The sequence below is a fragment of the Homo sapiens genome, chromosome 2 (genome assembly GCF_000001405.40).
Source record: "Homo sapiens chromosome 2, GRCh38.p14 Primary Assembly".
NCBI classification, from domain to species: Eukaryota; Metazoa; Chordata; class Mammalia; order Primates; family Hominidae; genus Homo; species Homo sapiens.
Genome location: NC_000002.12, coordinates 144225152 through 144248208, shown reverse-complemented (window position 1 = coordinate 144248208; position 23057 = coordinate 144225152). Strand labels below are relative to the sequence as shown.

Here is a 23057-nt window from a genome sequence, read left to right as displayed (position 1 = left end):
TTTTAACTATCACAGATAAAATGTAATTTATTTAACTAGTCACCTATTGCTGACCGTTTAGATTGTTTCTGTGTTTTACTATTACGTAAAACACTGTCAGAAACATCTTCATGAACATGACTGTTTCTTTTAAATTAAAACTTATTTTGCCAAAGTAATACATTCACCTAGTTTAACATTTGAATAGTTGTTAAAGGCCTATTAGAAAATACAGTGGTGGCTGGGCTCAGTGGTGCACATCTGTAATCCTGTTACTTTGGGAGGCCAAGGCCGGTGGATCATTTGAGCCTAAGAGTGCGAGACCAGCCTGGGCAGTATGGTGAAACCCCATCTCTACCAAGAAACAAAAACAAAAAACAAAAAATTAGTCAGGTGTGGTGGCGTGTGCCTGTAGTCCCAACTACTTAGGGTGGGGGCTGAGGTGGGAGAATCTCCTGAGCCCGGGAAGTCAAGGCTGCAGTGAACTGAAATTGTGCCACTGCTCTCCAGCCTGGGATATGAAAATGAGACCCTGTCAAAAAAAAGAAAGGAAAATACTGTGGTCCTTTCTCTAGAGGCAGCCTTTTATCTGTTTCCTCTAGTCATTATATATCTCCACATTGCTAAATTACATATATACACATTGCTATCTTTTGAGTTAATTTATTTTAGACATTGTTGACTTTATGTTATGGTCTTTGAAGATTTTTCACTATTACACAGCCATCTCTTTCCCTCACATTCCCAGTATAGTTAGATTCCAATTTTTGGCTTAGTGTTGCATTATTATATTATGTAGCTATTATTCATAGATGAGCATATTGTAATTAATTCTGATGAAAAGTTTGCTTCTGACTTTTCGTATTTCATGAAATTAATAATGCCTTGTTTTTTCATTTGCTTTGCTTTTTGTCCCTCTTAATAATTCTTCCTATACCTTCTATGAACTACTTATAATTTTCCATAAAGGGAATTGCATCAGATAATACATTTCAATTTTTTTCTTGAAGACATTCTTCCAGCACACTTCCATTCTCCTCCCATTACATTCTCTAGACCTGCCTCTTCTGGGATTTTTCCTTGCTCTTAACCTAGGAACTTCCTTTGCCTTTTCTTGGATCTCATAGTGTTTTCCTTCTTGTCTTACTCTTACATTTTTGTTTATGTTTCCTGTAGTATTCCTGAGAAAGGTTTTGTGACAGAAAAAATATCTTTATTCAGTTTTCTCACTTGATTGATAATTTGCTTGAATAATTAAATTCTAAGTTGGAAGTAACTTTCCTATAGGTTTTTGGAAGGAAATGCTTATGTTCCATTGTCTTCCAGCTTGCTCTTGCAAAGTCCAAGCATTTTTGATTCCTTTAACTGTAGAAGAAAACTGAGTAGAAGAATGTCTGGGTATAAGGATGTCATATTTTAAAAACTGTAAAGATGAGGAGGATGAAGAGGAGATTCAAGGCAGAGGGACTCGAAAAGCCAGGTGACAGCAGGTTGTCCACTGTGGTAAGAGAATGAAGGCATCTATGTCCATGTGAGGAGAGTGTGGGATATAGTTGGAACACAGTAAATTGAGACTCTATATTGGAGACCCATATATGGAGCTTTAAATTTGTTTTCTTTTCTTTTCTTTTTTTTTTTTTTTTTTTTTTTGAGACGGAGTCTCGCTCTGTCGCCCAGGCCGGACTGCGGACTGCAGTGGCGCAATCTCGGCTCACGGCAAGCTCCGCTTCCCGGGTTCACGCCATTCTCCTGCCTCAGCCTCCCGAGTAGCTGGGACTACAGGCGCCCGCCACCGCGCCCGGCTAATTTTTTGTATTTTTAGTAGAGACGGGGTTTCACCTTGTTAGCCAGGATGGTCTCGATCTCCTGACCTCATGATCCACCCGCCTCGGCCTCCCAAAGTGCTGGGATTACAGGCGTGAGCCACCGCGCCCGGCCTTTAAATTTGTTTTCTAGGCATTATTTCACCTAGCTATCATCAGCTATGTGAAACTTTCTTTGGCTTATGGCAGGCAAAATGAATTGGCTTCTGATTTATCCTCCCTTAGTATTAATACTTTACATGTGCCCATGTGCATATGTACTCATATATGTACACACACATTTTTATGTATCTATATGCCTGTCTCCCCCATTAGACTACATCTTTGGGGTTGGAGGAAGTGACATAATTAGGTCTGTGTTAAGGGAAGTACAGTAGATCAGTTCTTAACATTCCTGGTGGTTGAGGTGCCATTGAAAACTGCAGAATGGATACCAGGAAGAAAGGATTAAAAGGAGAGAGAACAGAAGGTTATTTCAATGCCTAGGTTTGAAGAAATGAGCATATGATGAACTAATCTACTGGGAGAGGGAGGGATACTACTTCAAATAATTATATTCCGATTATTCCCATGAGTCTAATTATTTTTAATTTTGGAAATGCTATGTTATTTTTATATATTTATTACACTTCTTACTTTAAATTTTTTCCCTTCTTGGTCCATTCCAGAATAGTCTGAAACAATTTTAACTCTTGCTTTATTGATTTTTTAAAAGTTGAATGATGTTTTGTTTACACAGCTGATGATTAATAGTAATGATGATCTGAATGAAATACCATCTTAATTCTATTTGGTTAAAGAAAAACACAAATAGAGAATTGTAGATGAAAATAATTTGTATATATCTTATATTGTCATTTCCTAGCATTTTCTTATTCTGAGCAGATTCGTTGCCTGAAAATGTTAACTTTGATTTTACCAGAGTCTTTCTTAAGTAGATAAAGTTTGAAATAGTATGATACTTTTCATTATTGTTTGAAAACAATGAACTTTTCCACAAATTTTCAACATTACAAACAGAGACTTTTCACCAAGATGAATGATCACTCAGAAAAAGTAAAGAACTAGTTAAAGGTTTTGTTGCATGTTTGTCACTGATGGATTTCTCAAAAGCCAGGCTATGTATTTATACTTAAAAAGATGTACCATATGACATATCACATATTTTGAAAATAACATCCCACTGATGAGTCTTTACTTTCCAAGATGCTTTTAGACAGGCTGATGCTCCACTAATGATAGGAGACTAATGTCTTTTGGAAACTTTCATGATGCTAATTACAATTTATTAAGCACTTACTCATGCCAAGCCCTGTGCCAAATAGTGAAGGGACACTGTCTCATTTAATAATAACCCTATTGGGGTGGGTGTTGTTTATTATTAGATGAGAAAATTGAAGCATAAAGAGGTTACATTTCTTGTCTGAGATCATGCATGTAGCAGGCAGCAAAGCAGGGAATGTTTATCTTTGCTTTGTGTATCTCTTCATTCTTAAGCTTGCTTCTTTCCACGTTATAGGAAAGATCTTAAGGAATATTAATCCTGTAGTGGCATCACATATGAACGGTATTTCTCACCTGTCCTATCATCAGATGACCATCTAATTTACTAATTTCTTATAGTGAGTAATTTCTCAGATTTTTTTTTGATCCTTATAAAACTGAACACCGTGCATTGTCTACTGTGCTTTCACAAATGAAAATGATGGTCCACTATAAGATTATTATTTGCGTTTAAAAAAAATTCTTGTTTAATGAGAATAGCCGAATTTTCTTTGAAAAACTTTCTGTACTTACTAAGACAATATTAGTATCCTAGTTTAATGTGTGTGACTGATATAGTTTTATGTTACTTACTTTTTATATTATTCTTTCACAAAAAATACAAAGCCTCCCCCAACTGTTGTTTCTCCTTAGTGCTAACTTTAAGAAGTCACACATGTTTCTTCCTGAACACCCAACAGTTTGGTATTCTGTCAGATGTTTTGCAGGGCTTTAGCAAGTTGTTACAGTGAATGTCTCCAAGAAGCAATACATTAGGCAGAGCACTGCAGAGACACCTGTAGAGATCAGCACACCTGCCCTCAAGCAAAAGACAGTAATTAGTTGCTCATCTTCCCTTGCAAACTTCCCCAATGTTGTTGTACATGAAACACGTAGATCACAGCAGTGCTGTCATGAGCTCCGCACTGTTGGAGTTGTTTATGCCCATTCAATTTTTAATGTTTCTATAAGACATTTTGATGGGAACCCTGAGCCCAAAGGGATTTGCATGCTTGATCAAACTTGTGATGATTTGAATATAGAAATAAAGAGAAACCTTTGAATTACTTTGACTGTTAACTTTTAGGACCGCCTTAGTGGAAAACATTCACATGATACTTGAGGCAAAGATGTGTTTGATCACCCTTTACAACTTTTTTGTTTCTTGACAGCAGGTATAGCGCCAGTAAATCTAAACAAGTTCTTTAATGCTTATAGATCCAAGTGCATGTGAATATCTGTATAGCATGGTCTGAATATTTTAAAAGATGATTTTGTACCAATCACTTTTATTGAAATTAAACCAGTCAAGTACCAATCTTTTAGTCCTGCCACATTGTCATATATAGTTTATATTATTAAAGAATGAGATGATAGGCGATTGAACTTTAGTAAAATACAGTAGTATATATGAGTTGGATATATTGGGGCCAGATAAATTATCACTTAAAGTACTTGGATGCCTTTTGATATCATTGTTTTAATTTTAACACTATATATGGTCTAGATACCATAAGGGATAAAAGCTAGTATTTTACCAAGTGACCTTTCAAGTCGTTTCTAACAGCTGGGATTCAGTTCTTTGATTATATTTGTGTAGGTTATTAATAAACAGCTTCAATAGAGTTTCATTACTGTTTCTTAAATTATATTGTTTGCAAAATGCTATCATTCCTAATATCATAGCAAATTCCATTCACATTTATTCTGAGAAAAAATAACCCTAGTAGTGCCTTGTTATTCAAGCATAGTCTGATGGCCATACATACATGCATCTTAAATTGGTTCTTGGAGATAAATGGGCATTATGGAGTTGTCAGATTACAGTAAAACTAAAGAAGAAGATGTTATACAGCATTGGACTGTCATTGACAGAGTTAGAAACCTTAGATGCTAATAAATGCAGTCATCCCATTGTACCTTGCAGTTTTTCCTCAATACATAGGTAGAATCTTCCTGTGAGTTTCTGAGCGTAGTTTTTGATTAGCTCTTCAGCACAAAATGGAATGAGTGATGTGAATATTTAAAGCTTACCTCTAGATTTTATGTTTGCCTGCCTTTTTTAGCCATATGTAAGCCTAAATGTGGATTAACTGGGGTTACTCCATTTGTGAGGTGATGATTATGATGCTAGTACGGTAGTATAGGCAGAATACTCTTTTTTTTTTTTTTTTTTTTTTTTTAAGTAGAGTCTTGCTCTGTCGCCCAGGCTGGAGTGCAGTGGTGCAATTTCGGCTCACTGCAACCTCTGCCACCTGCGTTCAGGTGATTCTCATGTCTCAGCCTCCCAAAGTGCTGGGACTGCAGCCATATGCCACCAAGCCCAGCTAATTTTTATATTTTTAATAGAGACGGGGTTTTGCCATCTTGGCCAGGCTGGTCTCGAACTCCTGACCTCAAGTGATCCACCTGCCTCGGCCTCCCAAAGTGCTGGGATTACAGGCGTGAGCCACCACGCCTGGCCTCTTATATTTTATATGCATAACATTTTGGCTAGCTTATACTTCATTGACTTTCGGGAATTTCACAACAGTCATTGCTAACAATTGGTCTGTCTATAGTGGCCTTTGGAATTCCTAATAACTTTATGTTAATGTTGCATAAAACATTTGGCAGTCTGTTTCTTATGTAAAGCTGCTCCATGTGCCCTGAGTCAGAAGCTTACTTTTTATCCTTGATACCTAGCTTAATGTGATCAGTCAGTGTTGGTTGGATTAGTGGATGATTGAAAATATTATGTAATGGATATGAATAGCCCATGGAAACAGTAAAGAGTGGATCACACTTAACACTTTTAATAATAGAAGTAACTTTTTCTCCTGCTTGTTTTTTTTTCAGCATAACCCTTGGTTCATATTTTTTCTAGGATAAGTTCCTATGACTTGATTTTAACTTTATCTCTTTACTATCAGTTCATCAAAAATATTCTGTGAAAAAACATTTTATACTTTTACTGTACTAAAGTTAAGCTCTTCTTATTCTGAGTCACAATCTGGACCCATTTAACTACTTTAGCTTTATTTTCTATTGTGCTATATTCTCTAGCTGTTTTTTCTCCTCCTGTGCTGGAGAAACTTTTTACTCCTTGTTTCAGAGCAAGTCAAACTTCCACTTCCTGGTGTCATGCCTTGGTCTCTGAGCTCCAATCTCATGAATTTCTGAGTTATTTCTGTTTTCCACCTGCCAGTTAAGAATGAAATCATATGTGTCCCTATGTTTTGCAAAATGGATCTATCTCCAGCTAGCTCATAGCTTCGTTACTATGATTTCTTTCTTTCTTTTCATTTTTTTTTTTGTATTTTAATTCTTTTCTTTCTGGCATGTGGTAGAATGCTAAGTACTTTGTAGTCACATAGTAAATACTGTACACACTTACACACTAGGTAATATCTAGCTTTATAGTAACAAGATAAGCTTCCTCCTAAAGAAAGGAAGACAGAAAGAAAGATGGACAGAAAGAAAGGAAGACAAAACAGAAGAAAAGAAAGGAAAGAAGAATAAAAAAGAAAGATCAGCAAGAATATTTTGAGGAATAGGGAAAGAGCAGTAATTGTGGAATTTTAAAAACTTGAGTTTAAATTCTGATTCTGCTTACTAGTTTGTGATATTGGATGAGGTTCATCATCTTTTGGTGTAAAATGGTAATGATATCTATCTGACAAACCTGTAAGGGTTAAATTATATAATGTATATAAAGTGCTTATTGGCATACCCTGGCACACATTCGACGTTAAAGAAATGGTAGCTAACTCTTTTATTTTGCATGTGAGGGAAGAAGTTTAGAGAGCTGACCAAGGGTCATATAGCTAGTAAATTGTGGAGAGAAAATTGAAAACCAGGCCATTCTTACTCTAAAGCAGTGTTTTTCAAACATAGTGCATCTGAGAATTATCTGAAAGACTTGTTAAAACACTGGGCCCCACTCCAGAGTTTCTGGTTCACTAGGTCTGGGGTGAGGCCTGAGAATTTGCATTTCAAACATGTTTCCTGTTGCTGTTGCTGCTGCTACTGGTCCAGGGACCACACTTCGAGAACCAGTGCTTTCTGGCATATTTCTCAACCCTAGTTGCACCTAAGAAATCAAGAAATCACCCTGAGTAGTGTCTATAAATTATTGATGAAACCAGAATCTCTGGTTATGGGGCCTAAGTGTGGATTTTTAGGTTTTTGTTTTAAGCTATCCAGGGGATTCTAACGTGCAGCCAGGGTAGGAAGCACCACTCTGCTTAAGTGAGGCTCTTTGCAGTTTTTTTCTTAGAACTGGGTATTAAGTGAAGCAGCTGACCCTGCACCCTCCTGGGTGCTCAGTGAGGCAAGGCCTCAGTAGTGTGTCGTTTTTATGCTGTTATGTTTTAAAACAATTGCTTTGGCCTAGAATCCTTTTACTGTTTTAACCTGTTCTACTTGTTTGTGTGGACTGTTTGCATTTCTCCATCTTCACCCTCAGTGTATCCTGAATGCCTTCATCAATCTCTAGGGTGGATTTTATGTTAATATTTGGCAAAAGCCAGTATTTAGCAATAGTAGACTTGAAGTATAAAGTAAATAAAGGAATATATCTAGTTTTTAAAAAAGCAGTCACATTACAATTTAATGTACTTTCAGAATTCTGATTTTGTTCTTTTTTCTGAGATGCTTTGGAAACCTTACATTGTGTTTTAGAGGACCCAGTTATTGGTTAGAATAGGTAATGATAATTGTGCACCCAGAAGTGTATAAGTAAAAATGTCGTAGATTAATTGATAAAGGAGTCATTTTTTCTTTATAGGATTCAGTTGGTAAATATATACAAATCAAGGCATGAAATCATTTACTGGATAAGAGTGGGCAAAATACCACATAATTTCATTAACCTTTAAGCAATGAAATTATAAATCCCTATGCAAATGTTTAAGGTTATCATTGCCTATCACCCCTTTTGATTCCTACAGACTGTTAATTCTTCTCTGTCCTGCTGAGTCTTATTAAAACTTCTGACTGATGTACTTTTATTAAAAGGTTTAGAATTTACCAATTTAAAACACTTGCTTTACACTATTACCTCTAATTTAACTAGGCCCATTAAACTGCATTTTGCAAAGGGAAGAAGTCAATTGCTGTTTCTTTAAAAAATAATAAATTGAAATGAATTTTAAACTCTGCTTAGCGGTGAGCAACTGCTATATACTACTAGGCCTTTTGATAGCTGATTTGTTCCTTTAGTATGCAAATTTTAGGTTTACAGAGATCTAATGCTTTTATTTAGGAAATATGCCCAGAGGCTAGATTGGTAGGCTTTAGGGAGATAACTAGTTTGGTGTGAAATAAATAGTTGTTAAAGGATCACATGAATTGGGTCCCAGAAGATGAAGAGTAGACTGAGACAGATTGAGGAAAACTGACTGTACTTCATTTCATTTGGCTATAAATATCACTGAATTAAAAATGAAGACAATGAATGATGGCAATACAAAGCAAATTAATGAAAATAAGCCATTTTTTTGTGGGTTTTCTGAAAAGTTCTGTCTTCTGAGCAGTTTAAAGAAAAGGGCTGGGTACACCCCTAACCAAAGAAGCTTAGTTCACATCATTCTGGGAGGCCAGCCTTTTGAGAGATTGTAGCTTTAGCAGGGAGGAAGGAATGGGTCAACTCCCCTCCCACCCCCCACCAGTCAAAGTCAGCAGCATCACTTCTGGTTAGTGAGATGACAGATGTCATAGAAAACCTTACATTCAAAACAAGAGGACTCACGGATGCTAGCTTAGGTTGGCAATTGTAGATATTCTGGCTTGCAAGTGTTAAACAAATAATAATGAACTTTTAGCTTTGGGAAGTTAGTTTTAAGAGGTTATACACTTGTTTTGTAGCATTGCTCTTTTGGAATCTCTGACTTCCAAACATTTATTTTTCCTTAAATAACTGAAAATAATGAAATACGTTTCTATATTGATAGCTTGTAGCATCCACTTTTCTTTTTTTTTTCTTTTTTTTCTTTTCTTTTTTTTAACAGTGCGTATATCTGTCTTTTTGGTTGTCTAAGCAGTTAGGCCCTCAAGAAATAGAATATTCGAATAGCCTTAGCATTTGAAATGGTCTCTGTATGCCTATTTGTTGTATGTCTCTGGTGGCAGAAGTGCAGAGGGCATGGGTGATGATGATGTGTGAAGGTGGGATGCTAGATTCTTTCATTGAGGCTGGAGGTTTATAATCTTGTTATCATTAAAGTTTCAAAGAGGTGTGGTGGGTAGGAGTGCCAATGCCACAGTCTAGTAGAGTGAGGAATGAGAATAAGTAATTGGTTCTTGCCAGCCTTAGCAATAGTGGTTTTGGTAGAGTGATGGCTAAGGAAGCCAAGTTATGGTAATTCAAGCATTGAATGGAAGTTGAAGCAAAAACAACGAGCTTATATTATTATTTTTTCATGGGGATAGTTGGTAGGGTTGGAAGAACTGTGTTATTGATGAAGGAGAAGAAAGCAGTGGAGAAGAAAGGGAGAAACCAGATAGTGCACGTTCCTAGAAACAGCATAAATGAATAGGATTCATTGTACAGGTAGAGGGTTTCATAATGGAAAAGAGGGTCAACCATGAGATAGGAATGAAAGTGTTATGAGACAGGAGAATTTTCATATGTAGAGTGGGTTCTTAGTTGCAGGCAACAGCTAGTTTGAGTTGCATACAGAGATGTATCACATGCTACTTAATTTGCAGAAGTGCCAAGGAACCAAAGTTGACTGTGAATAGCTAGGAACAGCACAAGCCATGAGAAACACCCCATGATACTATTCTAGTAGAAAACTCCACTGCCATTTGCTACTTAGAGTCTATGAGACTAGGGATCATTTAGTAGCATATCTACATAGTTGTTTCAGAAGAACAAAATGCCTTCACTACAAAATTTGATCTCATTTGTAGTTGGCTACTTCCTTGATTTGCTCATTTCTGCTTTCTAAATTTTGAATGGATTTGGTTGAACCTGGGTTCCCTGTGGAAGGCGTGATGCAAGAGCATCTGAGAAATGTTTTTAGCTTGAGCTTTGTGAATACAGGAAGTTAGAGTGCATGCTAGAAAGGGATTGGAGTGCAGCCTGGGTAATTCTGGCTCTTGGTCTTTCATAAGCTGCAATCAAGATGTCAGCCAGAGTGACAGTCATTTGAAAGTTAGACTAGCCTGGAGGATCTGCTTAGAAAATGGCTCTCTCACATGGCTGTTATGTTGATTCTGGCTATTTGGCAAGATGCCTTGTGTACCTTTCCCTAGGATGGCTTGAGTGTCCTCACAACGTGGCAGCTGGCAGCTGGCTTCCCCCAGGAAGATCCAAGAGAGTAAGGAAGAAGCTGTAATATCTTTTAGGACAGACACTGTCACTTTCACTGCATTCTGTTGATCACTCAGACCAACCCTGGTATGAGCAAAGGGATTACACAAAGGCATGAATTCCTTGAGGTGAGGATTATTGGGGGCTGTCTTGGAGGCTGGCTACCTGTACCCTCTTCTCCCCTTTCTTTGACAGCACAAGTTGATCGGATTTATCTGTGGAAGCAAAAAATGAAATTCTTTTAATAGAATGGAACTTGACAAGAATTTGGATAGAACGTGGTTCTTTATATTAAGGGTACACAGTGTGCAGTATTGTCAGCCAGGTTTTAAAGAGATAACGAAACGCTGTTCATTTACTTGTTGTCAGGTTTATATTCTACAAGCAGAGCTTGTATCGTAACATTATCATTCAATCTAGGTATATGTATTTTGAAGTGTAGAGATAATGAGGTAGTGATACTGTCTTCTAGAATAGCTACTCTGTCTTCATCTCTGAAATTCACAGGTCTGGCTAGCTGTCCCTAACGTCATTTCCTGGTCTCAACTCTTTAAGACCCTGACATACTCTGAGATTGGAGTGAAGATTTCTGTGACATGCTGGGTGGGTATAGGCTGCTGTCTCATGTCTTGGTCACATCTTATTGTTTATTTTTTCATATCATGTATCACAAATTGAAATATTGCTGATATACTTGTTTGTCACCCTGCATCCTTCTCCCATTCCCCAAAGTAAAGCTTCAGCAGAATAGGGCTTTGTTGACCTGTTCACTGCTGAGTCCTCAGCACTGAGTGCAGTGCGTGGTAAATGCCCAGAAGGTGATTGTCTAAATATGTTATTTTTTGAGAATATATACGACATGATTATTATTTGAAACAGGACACCACAAAAGGTAATTTTTCCCTTCTTCTACTTGATTTCTGTCTTTTCAGCCTTTTTCTTATACCCCACCCCTTTTTTTTGGTGGCATCTCAGTTCAGGATGTTCTCTGTGGCTGTGAATGCTTTCCCATCTTGTTCACAGTTGGTACCTGGAAGGTTCTCTAACCTTGTTTCTTTCTGATGTAGCCTATTCTGACTCTGGGATTACTATTTAAAGTAATTCTTTTAAGAGATATGTTTGGCTAATTCTGTAATTTTTTTGTTATGTAGACTGTTTGGGAGCCACATTTCCTATTGATTTGATCACACCTTATTTTTTCCTTGTCATAAATGGTCCTTTTTGGATGAGTTACTGTGTGAGTTCTGACCCTGTCAGAATTGATATTCTTAGGAATCCTGACTTTAATATACACAGAACAGGAAAAGTTTCCTTGTCATAAATGGTCCTTTTTGGATGAGTTACTGTGTGAGTTCTGACCCTGTCAGAATTGATATTCTTAGGAATCCTGACTTTAATATACACAGAACAGGAAAAGTCATGATAGGCACCCTTGGGTATATATGGTAACATGTTAGTTCTCTTCAAGACTGTGCATGGCTTACAGGGATCACAGGACTGTGTGAGTTAAGCAACAGTTTAAACCTGATGTATTGCTCTCCCAGAAAGTAGTATTCTTAAGGTATTTACCCCAGATCTGCAAGTGTCTGTGTTTCTCTGGGAGGGAACCCCCAAACCTGGAATGCTCATCCATATGCATTCCAACCTGCCTCTGAGATGTTAGGCAAGCCTCAGCAGAGGTTCTTGACAGTTTTTTGGACTATAGACCTTTTGGCAAATCTGACAAACTATTGACCTTCTCCCAGAGATACTTATTTACATAAACCCACAAATTTTACATATATCATTCAGGAGTGCATAGATTCCTGAAGGCCATCCAGTGACCAAGGTTAAACACCTCTAATCTGAATAGTAATAATAATAATAATTATTATTATTACTGAGTTACAGATGATTTGGAAAATCTCTGGAGAGACTGAAAATCTCTTATTAATTAAGAATAACCTTAGAAGCACTCAGAAAATTTCTGTTCTTGCACGTTCTTCTCCCATCTTGGAATATCCAAGAGCCAGACTAGATCATCCGAATCAGCTCTTGACCAGCTCAAGATTGAGAATTCAGGCTGGGTTTATTTTGAAGTTACTAACTATGTCTTTTGTGATCTTACAGGTATCTCTGCATTAGCCAGATTGGACATATGTAAAGGGACATCAGTATATCTGGATCATCAGGTAAGCAGATGGGACTTCATTTTTATATCTCCATCAATTCCGTCCTGTGGCAATATGCGGGCATTTTCTATCATGTCTTGTTTACTGCAGTGTGGGTCAGTAAGATGATTGATATTTCTAAAGAGAAGGAAGCAGCCTTTTTTAAGTTTCACCAGATTATTTCCCTGCTGCTTAAAGTCAGATTTCTTCATTTTTATCTCATTATTATTTCATGTATTCATACATCTATAGTAGATAATAATTCTCTACTTTTCTTTTAATGTATATTCTTTGGAGAGTTGTGGACAGCTCTCATATTGTTCCTTGGTTGTCAGCCAAGTTATAGACATTTAACTCCTTTAATCTTTCTTTGTAATTGAGTTAGCTTGGCTGCCTTTTCCAGATTTTCCCCTCGTTTTATGGTACCATTAATAAACAGAAAATCAGTCTATTGCCTGGCTTCTTCTACACCTTTCATTCTTTTTGTTTTCTGTTTTTGCCTCATATTCCTTGTTGAACTAAGGCCAGCCAGACATCATTCTCTGGACTACTTTGGCACTACATGAATGCCTTGCCTGCAACTATCAGTGTCCCATGCAGTAATACCATCAGCAGTATGTCCTAGAGAAAAAAGAAATATAAAAGGCGAGCAGCGAGGAGCAAAATAATGCATTCTTTAATTACATGGCAGACTTACCCTTACCAGCCAAAGTAAATCATTGTACCTGAGCCCTTTAACACAGCTTTTGTCATCCTAAAGTGCTGTGCATGGGCACTAATTTGAATAATAAGAGAAGCGTGTATATTGTTTGAAGTTTGCCCACTGTTCTCACTTGATTCCTTCCCCATGTTCTCACTCCCCCACTGCCTTTCTCAACACAGATCGTGACTTGTTATCAGATTCTGTGGCCGTGAACAAAACTGGGCAGGGGATCCTTTTGCCGGAAATTAGATAGGCTCAGGTGGTAAATGCTCCATGTCTCCATGTATAACATCTGAGGCAAGTGCTTCAGTTCTTGCTATTTCTATAACAGCTATTGGTCTTCTTTTAACAGCTGATTCAATGGCATTGTGCAGGAGGAAAGGACTAGTAGACGTTTGGTTCTATTTATCAACACTGTATTAGTTGCACAACTTTTTTCCCTTCTGATTGGCAGGGAGAAGCATACTGCTTCTAGATGATGCTGAGCTTAGTGTAAAATATGCCAGCATGGGATCTGAGCTGACACAGTTCATTCTTTCTTTTCATTTGGTTTGTAGAAAATAGACCTCTCCCTTTACTTATCTTGTGCATTAGAAAGAAAAAAGGTCATACATCTAGGAGCTAATGGCTTATTGGTGTCTTTTAGTCACCAGATTCAGATAGTATATTTAGTTGAAGGTTGCAGCAGCACACACTTGGCTTTCTCATTTGTGTTAGCTTCACTTCTAGTACAGAATTGAATAGGATTGAAGAGACGGTTTTCCTGTTTGTGTCTGTGGCAACTTTTTCGATGATTTGTGGTTTAATTCTTTAAACATTTTTGATCACTTATCACCTCTTTCTCTGTGAAGGCTTAAAGTATTCAGATTCTAATGTTATAATCTTTTCATCAGATTATTTAATTTTGGAGAAATCAAGGTCAGAATAGCAGCTGACACAGTTGTCTCTGAATAGTGACCTAAAAATTATAATACTTCTTTTTTTTTGGCCTGGATTTTATGGTCTGCCTTTGTGGCATCAGATTTTTAAATAAGATTATGTGATTGTGAATCATGTATTTCTTGGTCTCTGGCCTCTTAAACAGGTAACTATATGACTTGGACCCTTTTTAAGTCTGTTTTTTAAAAAATGTTAATCTCTCACATGGTTTTTAAACTGTTGACAGTATTGTACTTGACATTAATTTTGTTAGGCAGTTAATGCATTCTTCGGCATAACTTTGTTTCTTGGGTCTTTTCAAGACCTGTCAAAGAAAACAAAATGCTAACCTGACTTTAAAGGGGCAAGAAAATCCCCCCCAAACTATATCATTCTTTGTTCTCTATGTGCATCAAAGTGACAATCCTACACTGTCTCAATTGAGCGAGTCTAGCACAAAAATGAAAAACAGCCTGGCACTGTTATAGGCTTGCAGCCAAAATGTTTTGTGTAGCTTGGTTCTGGCAGTGGTTTTTGTAAGGCAGAGGGTCTACCCTCACAGCATCACCGAAGGAAGGCAGGCAGCCTTAGTCTTTCCCACTTACACCATTATTTCCCCCTCTTCTCTTCCTCTTTCTTCACACAGACCACCATTGTGAAAAGAAATATTTTTTTCTGAAATAGAAATATCATTCCCCTTACAACTTCCACATTTAGTAAGTGGCTTTGTTCCTTATAGAAGTTGGTGCTAAATTTGCCTTTTCCACTCTCTTAGATATTTTCTTTACAGTTGCATTTTTGCTACTATTGCTAACTTTGGTCATGTTGACACAGTATTTTTTATTGGTTGGAATCTTGTCTGCTTCAGAATTTATTATTTGAATGGAAACTTTTGAGTGATATTTGCCTTTATTATATGGATTTTTATGCCAAGGTATCTCTTGTTGAGACCAAAATGTCTGCCATTGTTTTCTATTTTTGTCTAAAATTCAGGGTCAGTTCATGTCTTTTACAAATTGAATACTCACTTTTAGAGTGTCTGATAAGTCTTGGTAGATAAGCAAGTGAACTTCCATTAAAATAAAGGATGTGCATTTAAAATATTTTTCCTTTGAAATAAAAAATGCAAGGTAAAACACAGAAGTGTTTTTAAGTTTACCAATTCTTGCAAAATTATAGTTAGTGCCCTACCATTAGGAGTGTGAAAATGTGGCATAATGAATTTTAAAGAGATGATTTGAGCAGGAGACTAGATTTTCACTATGAGCAAGCATTCGATGAAATTTCGTAGAATGTTCCTCACAATGTAAATATGTTTTCTGTTGTATTAAGCAAAACAAATGATTTACTTTCAGGTGATCTATTTTTAAAATTAGATTTTTTAGAGTGATCTATTTTAAAAATTAGTTTTGCAATCAAGATAAGAACAGTTAATAGTCAGAATATGTTTTTATAGAAGGAGATTGATATTATTTTGACTGATCTTTATTTTAAAAATTGTCAATGATTTTTGGCAATAAGAAAATTACTTTGAGAAGAAAAACTCATGTATTTTTGTAACAGTGTAACAAATGTGACTGAAAAGGAAGTAAACAGTGGCTCATGTTTGAATTATTAATGTGAAACATTTTTATATGCCATATATACTGGGAAATACATCTATTATGGGTACTTTAAGATAAAATTGTGCAATCTAACAGTTGTTTCTTTTGCGGGGATTTATTTTTAATTTAGAAAACACTTTAAAATTATTAAAAGGATTTGTAAAACAGAGGTGTATCAGCAGTATGCATTAAATAAACTCACCTGTTATTTTCTCTCATTCAGAACAGGCTCAGCAACATATTGGTTCACTACTTTAGCAAAACAAACAAATATTCAAATTGCTTTGTATGCATAATACACATGTAATAAATGCTACAGTTCCCCATTGCTCCCAATGCTATCTTTTTAAACTTGCAAAGTGGCTTTTTTTATGCAGAGCTACTAAAATGAATCTGGGTGGGATGCCTGTTAAGTTATATGAATTAAATCTTTAGGTCAACATTTTAAACTTCTGAATTCTGACAGTTTTGCGAAGGCATGCCAGCGAAACTTTTTTCACTTGATCCAGTTAAGTTCATGACTGTCTTGAATCCCCTGTGCCAAGGTCTGATAATGTTAACATTAGCGAGTAAAGATAACACACACACACACACACACACACACACACACACACACACACACACACACCTCTTTCATTCTGTGTATAGTGAATAATGTTTATTGCATATTAACCACTATTCAGTGACTTTAAATACACTTTCTGCAGTGGTTTAATTTTTATTTGCAGTGAAACCCTTTATTTTTTCTGTGGTAAGAATATATCTTTTAGTGATTTAGGACAATGTGAATTGTCCTATTTATTTATTCTAACTACACACAGAGGCATAGGAGAAATATTTAAGAGCCATAATGTTTAAGCAGTTTTTTGGTAAATACGGTTGAGTTTTTCATTTTTGTAGAATAGAATTTATAGACAATAAATTGTATAGTTTTAATTCAGAACACATAGCAAAGCTATTATCTTTTTAGTTTGACATTATATATTTTTTAGGAATATAATATAGTAACTTAATCATTATATTTGTAAAAACATGGAGAAAAATTTATTAAGAGATAACAGCAAAATTGAATAAACACTGTTGATTATTTTAACTAGGATTTTACTATATTAAGTATCAAGTTTATAATTATAACTAGTACTTCATTTCATTTGAATGTCAATATAGGTTTCAAACATGACTCTTGGGGAGATGATTTGAATGTCTTGTTTGATATCAAATATTGGTAATGTAATAACAAATAGTGATTTTTAAGTTTATGTGGTCAAAATGAGTAATCTTCCCTTAACCATATGGTACATACTTTAGTGTCAAAATTCAATAGATAGTATTGCATGAAAGAGTACATGTTAATTCAGTTGTTTGATTTTTCCTCTTAATTTTTGATACGTTTTAATTTCTCCCACCCTCTGACATATTATTCTGTAGAATACTTTTACAAGTATTTCATATGTTTTCTATGGCATCTCACACTGCTCACTTTTTATCTATAGTACCATATGAGTTCCTCTTTTTTAGGTTTACACTGCATATTTTAAGCTGCTGATAGTGTAAGTAGATTGCAAGGTAAAGTGACATTTAGCTTTTTGAGTTAGCTTCATTTTTAGCATGAGAACAGGTTTTTTTTCCCTGTCCTAAATCTTCTCATATTTCCCATTAAAACAATCTTACTAACATTGAACAAAGAAATTCAGGGATTTGGCTAAAGCAGCAATTGAAATGCATCAAAAAGTGGCTACTACAATACAATTTTATTAATGAATGATCTACATTGGTTCCAGCTGTGTCCATGTGATTAGGCCTTCACCAGGCAACAATGGGTATTTCCCTATTGCTTTTATTTGATTTCCAAGAATGTGTCATCTGTTACATCAGCCTCTGCCAATATGCCCCTGTAAAAGTGTTTTTTTTTCCTTCTAAATTTCTGAAGCATAAGTTGAATACCCACACATAGCCCTGCTGAAATATTGTTTCTATTGAATGGTGGCCTAGGTTTGTATGCCTGGTGTTGCATACCAAAATCTCAGAATGTAAATTAAAGTAAATGTTTATTAAGTTTATCAGTAAATTTTTGGAAGTGTGGTTGCCTGGTAATGCTAAAGATAGACTATTTTAGCTTTTACATTTTCATCTTAATATTTTATTACAGTGGTATAATGTGTTATAGAGGTGGACAAGCCTGCAGATTGAAGTGGGGATCGTCCAGATTGTTCCCTTCCCTGGACCATATGGTATAGTTCTAAAAGCCTTTTGTACGCTGTCTGTTCAGTTTATTGTAAACTCAATCTTTAGTGCGCCTAAAAAGATAACCAAATAAAAGTGAGCCTGAGAAAACGGACTTCATATCATATAGGGACCCCAGATATATATTTTTGAAAGGAGATAACTGAAAATGAAATTGAAGTTGAGATGATATTATAAACAAGGGAGATTTGTCATTCTCTGAATTTTTTTTATATCACATGGATTTTCATAGATTGTCTTTGAATACTGCTTTTAAAATGAAAGCATTTATGTTATGTGACTATAGTTATTATGCTTATTTATCCCATTCTTAGGGTTTCAGGAAAAAGAATGTAGCATTGTTCTGTTTTACAGAGGAAGCCTCTACCTGTGACTGATGGTAAGGAATATATAAACTACAGGTTTTATGAATATGTGGATTTTTTGACTTACCTTCGTGACAATTTAGGCTAGATAACTCAGTAATTTCATTCTGTGAGGAATTACCTATACCCAGAGTTGAAAGGTTTCTAATTCTTATTTGTTTTCCTTTCTTCCCCCCACGCCTAACTTAATATGTTTCTATAATTCTATTTTAGGAAAATAGAGTAAGAGATTGCTTATCCTATATGCTAAGATCCTTTAGAAGCAGGAATGAGTGATTGCTCCTGACTCTCACTCTCCTTCCCTCCAAAGTAAGCCACTGTTTGAGAAGAGCATTAGACATTACCCACTGCTTTTTGGCATAAGAGATTTGAAGTTGAAATCCTACCAAACTGGGGGATAAAAAGGAAAGCCTGTGAAGAACATGGTTCTTTACTCTATCATTACCCTGAACCACTGAAAGGGTAACTGAGAGGAACTCAAATGTTTTTGGAATGTGTAATTTTCCTTTGAATTGCCACAGTGAAATATATTTCAACAAAAAAGGCAGAACAAGTATATGTAGTGTACGGAGTTGATGGTGATTGAAATTAATGAATCTTTTCAGCACTATACAATAGGAATTATCCCAAGAATAGTACACATTTAAAATTTGTCTGAGAGAAACATACATAGAGAATGATTATTGTGTTATTATTACCTTAGGGAGATGACTAGAGATAGATGGAATATTAAATAATACAATAATGCTAGTGGTAAATTAGACACAAAGTATTTGTTGGGATATACACTTTTCAAATTCAAAAAGTTTTCTAAAACAGAACCATTGATTTCAAGTGTATGTGTGGAGTCTTCCCTATTTAAAAAATACTGTTGTTTTGTAATCTCTCATTTATTCTTTTTTTTTTGGATGGAGTCTTGCTTTGTCACCAAAGCTGGAGTGCAGTGGCGCGATCTTGGCTCACCACAACCTCCGCCTCCCGGGTTCAAGCAATTCTCTTGACTCAGCCTCATGAGTAGCTGGGATTACAGGCACATGCCATCACGCCCGGCTAATTTTGTATTTTTAGTAGAGACAGGGTTTCTCCATGTTGATCAGGCTCATCTCGAACTCCTGACCTCAGGTGATCCGCCTGCCTCAGCCTCCCAAAGTGCTGGGATTGCAGGCATGAGCCACTGCGCCTGGCCTTTCATTTATTCTTAAGCCACTTTCTAAGGTGCCCACAAAATTGAAAAGCATAGTTTACACTTTCACACAAATTAGATCCCTCCCGTTTTCTCTCCCCCCATTCTCCTTCTTTTCTCCTTTCTTCCTAACCTTCAGCTATTTACTTATATGTGTGTATTATATATATGAATGTTATATACCATACTATAGAAAAATGTTATTTTAATAGATTTGAGGGATTGAAGGTTCCACTTAAAATAAAAATCTTGTAATAACTATGCAACAAATGGATTTATATGGAGGAATTTGACCATGTTTATAGAAGTAATTCAGATTACAGAAAATTGTAAAAGTGTACATTCAAAATTCTTTTTTTTCTAGCTAGTAAGGACTGGATTATAGCTTAAGAAAGGAGGAACCATAAAGAGTCTAACTCAAGTATCTCTGTTTTAACGGTAAAAATGCCTCTGGCTCCAAGTAGTAGAAAATCTTACTGACATTAATTTAAATGAGTTAGTGTTTTATTTGTCTCATAAGAATCAGAAGGCAGTTAGTTCACAGGTAACTGATACTATCAGGGATCCAGGTAATGTCTTGCTTCCCCACCATCCTTAGCATGTTACTTTTGCCTCTTATTTCACTTTCAAGCAGGAAGAACAAAGGGAGAGCTCAGAAACTTCCTTCCCATGGATACTTTCTCTTTTTCTTTAGAAAGGGATGTTTACTCACAGGGACTTCTGTCTAATTCTCATTGGTCAAAAGTATGTCCCATATAACCACCTCTAGAATGAGGTAACAAATGTTTTCGCTTTCTAGCCCCTAGAGTGAGATAATGAGTGTTTTAGCTTTGTAGCCTCTTTTGGAGGAAGGCAAGGAGAATGGGAATTAGAATGAGTGTTGAATGAGCCATTCTAAAGTTATCTGCTGTACTTCCTTAATTCCTATGTACAGTTAGTTGTTTGGACTTTTGAAACTCTCTGGATACTTGGTTTATATAGTAACTTGCTATTGGTTGTCTTTTGAACAGTTAGTGCATATGTGTTGGTATTGTTATGTTTCCATGTCTGAGGACAGGAACTGTAATTGGGTCATCTTGGTGTCTTTACGCTTAGCACAGTGCCTACATGTTGAACCTCAATAATCCCTTCTTGAATGAATGAATGGATATTAAGAAATATATTTGTTAATATTATGGGTATAAATCATTTATACATTTAAAATATTTTTAATTTGTGAGGGTTTGTGGACTAAATTTTGTGGAATTGTTTGTTATTGCTAAGGGGACATCAGTGTAATAATGTCCAAGTTGTTTTGAAAAAAAGGTAAGTCCTCAAAATGGTTTAGTACCAATGTTTGTTGGGGGCTGGGTATTCCATGAGTAAATAAGAAATGTGATTGCTTTTAACTCTATGCATAGACTATTGTTTAAACAAAGATATTTTGTAGTACTTATATGTTAAGATCTCAGTTTTTAAAGAAATAGGCAATCGGAATTTATTTATTCAAAAGGCAAACAGGTCATTTGATAATTTATATTGCTGATGCTGATTTACAGGTCCTTGGAAGCGTCATATGGCTAAAGACATATTAAAGCAGATTTTGCATTAGTTGACATTTGAGTATATATGTTTTTAAATTCTTAGACGGGCAGCTTTATACTTTTTAATACACAAGCAAACAATTATGTACTATAGAATTTCATGTCCAAAAGAAATCTTAAGAGGTCATCTTTACATCTGCTTGTTTTGCCCTTGACTGTCTTAGAAGGATGGAGACTACCTCTTCATTTAAAATCTGCAGAAGGAATGGCTCAGACTTGGTAGGAATCAGTATCTTACAACTCCTCCAGTGTCTAAGTTAAATTCTCTTTATTGTATTTCCATTCAGTTTCTGTTATTTTAACCTCAGAGGACAAAATGAACAACTGTCTACTATCTCCCATACAACATCCCCTATATAACCCTATTTTAATAAATTCCTCTCTTTTCATTGATGATGGCAGGGTTGTTTGTACCTTAATTACTAAAACAGTCTGTGCATGGATAGAACTTAATTCAAAGCAGGGAATGTATTCAAGTGTCTGGAACTCAAATTTTCTATCTGAGCAGTTTATAGTCACTAAGAATAAAGGAAGCCCTTTTAATATTCAAAAGCAGTACTAGGAGAAGGGTTCTTACATAATCACAATGTAGGCAAAATAATTTCCTAAATTTGAACTCAGAATTGGGTATTGGTAGTTTTATTTGGCCCTTAAGCAGACCTTTTGGTCATACTTTTGGAAGTAATGAAGGTCAACACTTTGCACTTAAAAAAGTGCATGTAAAATATTAGCCCTCCCTCATTATTTTTACCTTTATTCTCAGTGATCAGTATAGTATCTGGCTCACAGTATGCACTTGATAAATGTTTGTTAAATAAATTGTAAGTATCCCTTGATAATGCTTCTAACATGGGTAGCTTTATGCTTTGCATTTCTCCATTCCTCTGTATTTCATGCTGTCCAATAAACACTCACACTTTATTTTTTACTGTCTTTATCTTTCTATTCAATGATATTGACCATGATTTAGGATTTATTTGAAGATCTGAATACCATAGTAATACCTGAACAATTCATTTTGTGATGACACTGTAATTTTCAAATTCAGGAATACCTCTTTTGTTTTATTCCTCATAAGATAGTGATCTAATTATAGCCTATTGATGAGAATTCAGAATACATTAACTGAATATTGTGTACAAAGCACTTTGCTGGGTTATGAGTAGTTACAAACATGAATTGTACATAAACTTTGCTGCCAAGGAATTGAGATCTGATTGGGAGACACACACACACATATACTGTATAACTATAGTATAAGAGGGATTGTGGTGACTGCTGTAAATGGGGTAAAAGCAAAATTTAGGGCACTACAGAGGAAAGCGTAATTACTTCCGACTAGCTGAATATGGGTGAGTAATTGACTAAGTCTTCACGGATGAGATGAAATTTGAATAGAGTCTTGAACTATATGTCTATATGTAGGAATTTGACAGGTCATGAAGGCAAAAGGTTTCAGAGAGGAGAAACAGCAGGAGCAGTATTTGCAGGTAGGAATGTGTATGGAGTGTTTGATAAAATAGAATGGTTTTAGTATTTCGAGTAATAGTGTGTCTGTGGGAGTGACAGAAATTGAGGCTAGAATGGAGCTTGGAACCAAATTGTAAGGGGTCTTATTTCTTGTTAAATAATTTTCTTTATTTCTTAGAAAAAGTATAGGTTTTTGAGTGGAAAAGTGACATCAAGATATCTATAAATTTCAGAGGAAGAATGGAAGATGTTAAATGTAGCTATAGGTAGGGAGATGAGTTAGAAGGCTGATGAATAGCTCATGTTGAAGATGATAAGGGAGGCTGGAGGCAGCAGAGCTTGGAAAGAAGGTCTGATACCAGAGGCCTGGGGTGGGTCAGATGCCCTGTGGCCTGTTGATTTGCTTAGAGGTGTGCAGCAGTGTACTGGCTCCCAGTAGAAGGTGCTTTCCAATTTTGAGTCTTCCTTCTACCTA

At 35.9% G+C, this 23057-nt stretch overlaps 1 protein-coding gene across 61 annotated transcripts in view, besides 2 other annotated features; it reads left to right on the top strand.

Annotated features, from left to right (window-relative positions):
* QTMAN (queuosine-tRNA mannosyltransferase) overlaps positions 1 to 23057 on the top strand; it is a 395002-nt gene that overhangs the window by 84861 nt on the left and 287084 nt on the right. For 47 of the 61 annotated variants that reach the window (NR_164799.2, NR_164804.2, NR_164801.2 and 44 more), the window contains one exon: positions 12472 to 12533. The exons of 4 other annotated variants lie outside the window; for them this stretch is intronic. The gene's annotated coding sequence lies outside the window, so the exon portion shown is untranslated. Of the gene's footprint in view, positions 1 to 3319; positions 3425 to 10869; positions 10966 to 12471; positions 12534 to 17886; positions 17969 to 18295; positions 18361 to 23057 lie in introns of those variants that run through there. 10 more of the 61 variants (NM_001376307.2, NM_001376326.2, NM_001354351.2 and 7 more) reach the window with 6 other exon arrangements.
* Positions 7181 to 7260: an enhancer, noted in NCBI's record as "active region_16601". NCBI's record gives its function as "activates an Ori minimal core promoter by ATAC-STARR-seq in GM12878 lymphoblastoid cells {active_cell/tissue: GM12878}" and the evidence as "EXISTENCE:reporter gene assay evidence [ECO:0000049][PMID:35858748]".
* Positions 8708 to 8787: a silencer, noted in NCBI's record as "silent region_11991". NCBI's record gives its function as "represses an Ori minimal core promoter by ATAC-STARR-seq in GM12878 lymphoblastoid cells {active_cell/tissue: GM12878}" and the evidence as "EXISTENCE:reporter gene assay evidence [ECO:0000049][PMID:35858748]".